Below are 6,000 nucleotides of genomic sequence, written 5' to 3' on the forward strand. Positions count from 1 at the left end.
TATGTTCTCATTGTTCAATTCCCACCTATGAGTGAGAATATGCAGTGTTTGGTTTTTTGTTCTTGTGATAGTTTACTGAGAATGATAATGTTTTAATATTTTTCTCTTGAATTTAATGTTAATCTACTTGTACTTTGTATGTGGCATAAAATTTGTGTTCCCTATTATTTATTCCAAAATGAATAGCCAGTTGGCCCAGCATTGCTTATTGAATAATTCATCTTTTTCCCACTAAATCAAAGTATTACTTTTGGCATGTGATAAATTCACGTACACAATTATATGGTCTATTTCTGCATTTTCTATTTTCTTCCATAACTTGTTTAGTCCTGTGTCAATATTATGTTGATGTGGTTATAAAGGCTTTGTTTTTTAGTATTATGATATCTGATTTTAAAAAGAGTCATACCATAATTTATATATTTGGCTATATTTTAATATTTAATACTATTTATATTTAAAGCTATTTAATCCAATTTCCTCTACTTACAAATAAAGTTGTTGGCACTCTACCAAGTTATAAATGTATGACACTTACAAATTAATTTCTGAAAAACTTAAATTTTGTGATACTGAGTCTCATCATTCAAGAACATTGCAGGTCCCCCAAATCTTCTGCCCTGATGAATAAATGACAGACAGCTGGGTTTGGATTTTTGTGTGGTAGTTCTTTTCTCCTAGTAATCTATAGTTGCTATTTCACTGGCTTTCATTTCAGTTGTGAATGGGATGTCCAACATGAATTTGATTTTCTGTGCCTCTATAAACTGCTTGTTTCTCTGAATGGATGCTTGCAAGCTTGGGAGTTTTACCAGAATTTGCCTAGGTGAGTGCATTTTCCCATCCATCCTGTCTGGAATTTATTAAGCCTTTTCAATTGGTAACTTGGACTTTCTTCAGCTCAGACAAAAAAAAACAACTTCAAGATAGTTATTTCCTTTCTTGTATCTGTTCCATTCTCCTCCTGCAATCTCTATTTTTCACTTTTTAATTCTCTCACATCTATCCACTAACTCTCTTATGGTTTCCATTTTATATCTTTAATCTATACTTGCCTCTGTGCTTTGGAATATTTTTTTAAACTTGATGTTCAGGCTAATAATTCAGGTTTTAGCAGAAATCCTTCTCTCCTTCATTTATATACTGAATTGTAGAGTTGTGAAAACAATGCTTTGATCCAAAAAGTGTCCTTATTTTTCTCTTCATTTTTTTTCCCTTCCAGATGCTCTCATTTCACTAGGGACGGGTTCTATTTGCTCTAATTGATCTCCCTTTTCCTGGCTTTTGTCCCTATAGATGGGTGGCTGTTTCTCTGTATCTGTTCATTAGGGCTCTGCCAACATAAAAGCTCCCTAAGTGGCAGCATTCTCATAAGCAGTGGGAGGAAAAGTGTCCTATGTGCTAATGGTACATAAGCCAGTTCACTGCTGACTTCCAGGAAGACTCCTTGTTCTTGGGTGTTCCTGTCCTCTCCAAACTTGAGGGTACTCAGTCGTCCATTCAGCTGCTAGTTGCCTCATGCATTCAAGGAGACTTGGCAAGTTATTCTGCAGCTAGTGAGAACCTTCTACATGAGTGGTTACACATCTCTGAAGGCCAAGTTCTTACAGGATCCACTGCTCTCTGATCTTACACTGAGGCTGTCATGGTTATCTCCAGCTGCATTCCAGGCCTTAGGGAAAACATCCCGATACCAGTTTTCTCCACTAGGATGCCGACAACGCTCATAGCACCAACTTTACACATCTACTTATAGGACCCTGGAGCCATTTGTATCAGTAGAGACAAGTAACCTGGATTTAGATTATAGAAATAGGGGGATGGGAAGAAAGTTGTGTTTGGGTAACCATATTCCCAGAATACCCCACCTGAATATTTTTCAAAGTCTGTCTTTTTCTCTAGATGTTCTGTGGTCCAAGCAGGCATGGACCCTCTCTGTGTTTTACTCAGCACTGTATATCCAGGCCCTCACACAAGACCTGAAACAAATAAAATAAAGCCCTCATTAAATGTGTATAGAATGAATGAATGTTTGTGATATTAATCTCCAAATAATATTTTTCAATTAGGTAGTCAGAGCTATATCCATTTTCCTTCATTATTCTTTACACTGCATTTATGCTTAAAAAGATGCTTCCAAATCAGACACTTGCTGAACCTTTACACATAGATTCATCAGAACTTTCCCACATTTCTCTTAAGATCAGTCGAGAGCTTTGCTCATCTTAATGACTCATTGACTTCCCTTGGGCCCATCAAAGATGAGCTAGCGCTTCCTTGTTCAGCCAGCATATTTTCCCCTCAGAAAAGGACATGTCTGCATTTATCTCAGGAGCAATACGAATTCAGTCTTCCCATAAAACTAAATAGCCCTCAGGAAGCCGTATAGTTAGAGCCAGATGAGCAATGTATGACCATGTTTTGTTTGTTTGTTTCGTTGGTTGGGTTTTTTATATTTTGCAAAATAATGAAAAGGTGTACCAGAGAATGTTTTTATGTTGTTTTCACTAGGGAACTTGAGACTATTAACTGCTTTGCCAGTGAAGAACAGGTGCGGATCCAATGATCAGGTGACGCAGTTGCCTTGACAGAGGATAATTATTCTTGCCCATAAGAGATAGACCCAAAGGTAAAAATCACAATATGTTCTGGATTATTTTTACCAGTAACTTTCCACATATGTTAAAGAAAAAATCTTATACAGTAGGGTAACTATAGCTAATAACAATGTATTGTATATTTAAAGATATACAAGATATAAAGATAAAAGAGAGGATTTTGAATGTTATCACCAAAAGAAATAATAAATAATAAATGTGTAAAGTTTAAACTGTCTTTAATATTTTGAGTAGCAAAGGTAGAGTTGGCTAGGAAAGCAGCAGTCCCCACATGAAAACTGAGGTTTTTAGAGATATTTTTGCACATAAGCTGGAAGTTCTGTATCATATCTGGTATGTTGGCCTTCTGGCTGATTTTTGTAGCCAGCTTTTTGTTGGCTTTTTTTTCGCATTTTTATCAATTAATTTTTAATTAATTTACTTGTTTTAGATGTATCTCTGTCTACCTTGCACAACCTCATTTTCTCTTTTATTTATAAATTATCTACCACATAAGCCAATCAACCCTACCAGCTAGCTAAATACACCTAACATAGATCCCCCCTCGATCTTCAGAAGCCCCCATACTACATCTTACCCTCTTCTTTGCACTGGAAATTATTAGGGGGTACCATTATGACTGGTACTTCATCCCAGCAGGGCAAAGAGAAAAGTACGACTATCATGCACCTGATAGTCAGTAAATTATTTCTTTGTTGGAAATAATTCTAGAGTAGTCATGTGAGAATATAAATTATTACTAATGCTTTCTTCTTCAGTTAATAAGCAGATGTTTCCAATAATCACTAACTATAATGTATTGAGAGGATAGAACAACATAGGAGAATTGGCCCCTGACATCAAATAACTTACAGTCTAGATGAGGAGATTTAGAAACCATAAAATGTCTAGATTTTACATCAATTCACAATTATTGTACACTCTATGTATATACTGAATAATACTATGTCTATTTGATGTATACACATATACAGTATATATTGTATTTAAATAATATCTGTGTTATTTATCAAGCACTTATAGCACCCAGCACATACATGAATCTATGCTCTCCAGTCCATTGCAATAACATAGATCCCTAAATCCCATTATGCAGAAGAAAAAGTTTCTATATTTGATAAGGGGAAATTTTCAGTTTGAAAAATAAGAAATAAAAACCTTCTTGAATCTTTCCATGAATATTTACTGAATGTTTACAATGCACAAAGCTCTATCCTAGTGCTGGGATGCAGAATAACAAATAACAAAATAGACAAGGTCCTTGCTATCATGAATATTACATGCTACTTTAAGGAGGCCAGATGGATGGAAAGATGATAGATAGATAGAGAGATAGATAGATAATCACAATAAACATTAAAGATAAATTTTTTAAAGGCAGCAAGAAAGATAGGGACTGGGTACAAGAAGAAACTCATTTTAGAAAAGAGTTCTAAGCTTAGACCTGAATAAAGTGAATGGATTCCGCCATGAAAGAATAAGAGAGAGGACTCTGAAATAAGCATGAGCTTATCATGTCTCAAAAGCAGATAGAGGGTCAATATCATGAGGGAACAGTGAACCAGTAAAGTGATGATAGAGGAGCAACAAATGAGAAGTGAGTATAGACAGAAGCGTGGACTGCTTCACGTAGGGTCCTGAAAGCCCTGATTAGGAATTGTAATTTTATTCCAAGCACACTCGAAAGCCATTAGAAGGTTTTATCAAGGAAGTTTTATCTCTACAAAAGAAACTCTTCTGAATTTTACTGTTCCCCAGGCAGTGATGCAGGGATCCAGGCTCCTTCTATTTTATGCTTTGCTATGTTAAACTAGTGGATTCCTAGCTTACTTTAGAAGGAAAAAGAACCCGGAAGATCACTCAAGGAAAGTTTTATATGAGCCAGGCCTGTGAGGGTTATAATCTTTCTACTCATATTTCATCAGCTAGTGTTCCATGCTATGCCCATCCCTAACTGCAAGGGAAACTGAAAAATATTGCCTAACTCTGAGTTCAGTAAAAAGAGGAAACAGGCTTGGTAATTAGTTAGCTGTATTTAACTGTAAAAGTCAAACTTCAATTCCTGACTTCTACTAATCGAGTCCTATGTATAAACCTGAGCTTCTTCAGGACTGGCTATTCAAAATTCCAATTTCCTCTAGAGTTTTCATTTAATTCATCTAATTCCCACAAATGGAGTGTCTTACTACTCCCATATTAAGTACTATAACTACTAAAGTACTTCTCCTTGTGGTATCATTACAAACTGTGCCAGAGACTCTACTTCTCTCTCAATATCCATTCTCTCCTTCTTTTACAGTAATGTAACACCCAAAATTCAGCCTTGGGCATGGTTACATGGACTAAAGACATTTTCCAGATTCACATGTGACTAGTTTATCTATGTGACTAGGTTTTGGCAAATAAAACATAACAAAGGATGTATTTGCAACTTCCAGGAAGTGCCTTTAGCCTCCTTGCTGTTGGCTGGAATGCAGAGATAATGGCTGGAGCTGGAGTAAACGTCTTGACCACAACCTGGAATACATGCTACACATGGCAGAACAAGAGGTAACCAAGGAACTTGAGACCTTGATGACTTTCGAGCTGCCACACTTGAGCTTGCCTGCATTCATGTGAGAGAAAATCTAATTTCTATCTAATTAAGCCATTGTTATCTTGAGGTTTCTGTTACTTGCTCCCGAAGTAATTCTTGGCAATACACTAACTTTGTGCCACATTCCATACTAGGTGCTTTATATACATTATGTAATAATTTGATGAATACAACAACTCAAAAGATATCATTTTACCCACTTCACAGGCAACAAAACTGAGGCTCAGAGAAGTCAAATTATAGCTTACATTGAGTAAGTGGTGTAAATGGCATTACAAAATAGGCATGTACATGTTGAAGCAAGTGTTCTCAAACCACATGCCATATCATCACTCACAGAATATAATCTACTCCAGGCTTTAGGCTCAATCTAACCCAAAGTCAGAGATCCACTACCTGGAGGCATTATAACAACCTCTTATACCACAATTTGCCATTAGCACTTCTCTAATTTTGTATCCTCTTCCAGTACTTGGGTTCACGCCTTGTTCCTAATAGTTAATTCTTGCACTGAACTCCAGTTTCAGTAGGTGTGCTTCTGGTTCTTTTTACAAAGCCTGTATATCCCTACCTTGTAATCTTATCTACTGCTCCAACTTCCCTCAATTCTTAAATGGTGGATCCAATATGCTGCTCCTTAATCTTAGTTTTATGGTTGAATCTCTAATAACTGCAAAAATCTCTGACATGGATCACTTGTCTACCATGCTATCTTCTTGCTTTCATCAAGTCAAGCCCTGAGTGCTTTCCATAATCATAGCTATAGAGAACAATGAAGTAGGTCAC

This window comes from Homo sapiens, chromosome 8 (genome assembly GCF_000001405.40).
Source record: "Homo sapiens chromosome 8, GRCh38.p14 Primary Assembly".
Classification (NCBI taxonomy): Eukaryota; Metazoa; Chordata; class Mammalia; order Primates; family Hominidae; genus Homo; species Homo sapiens.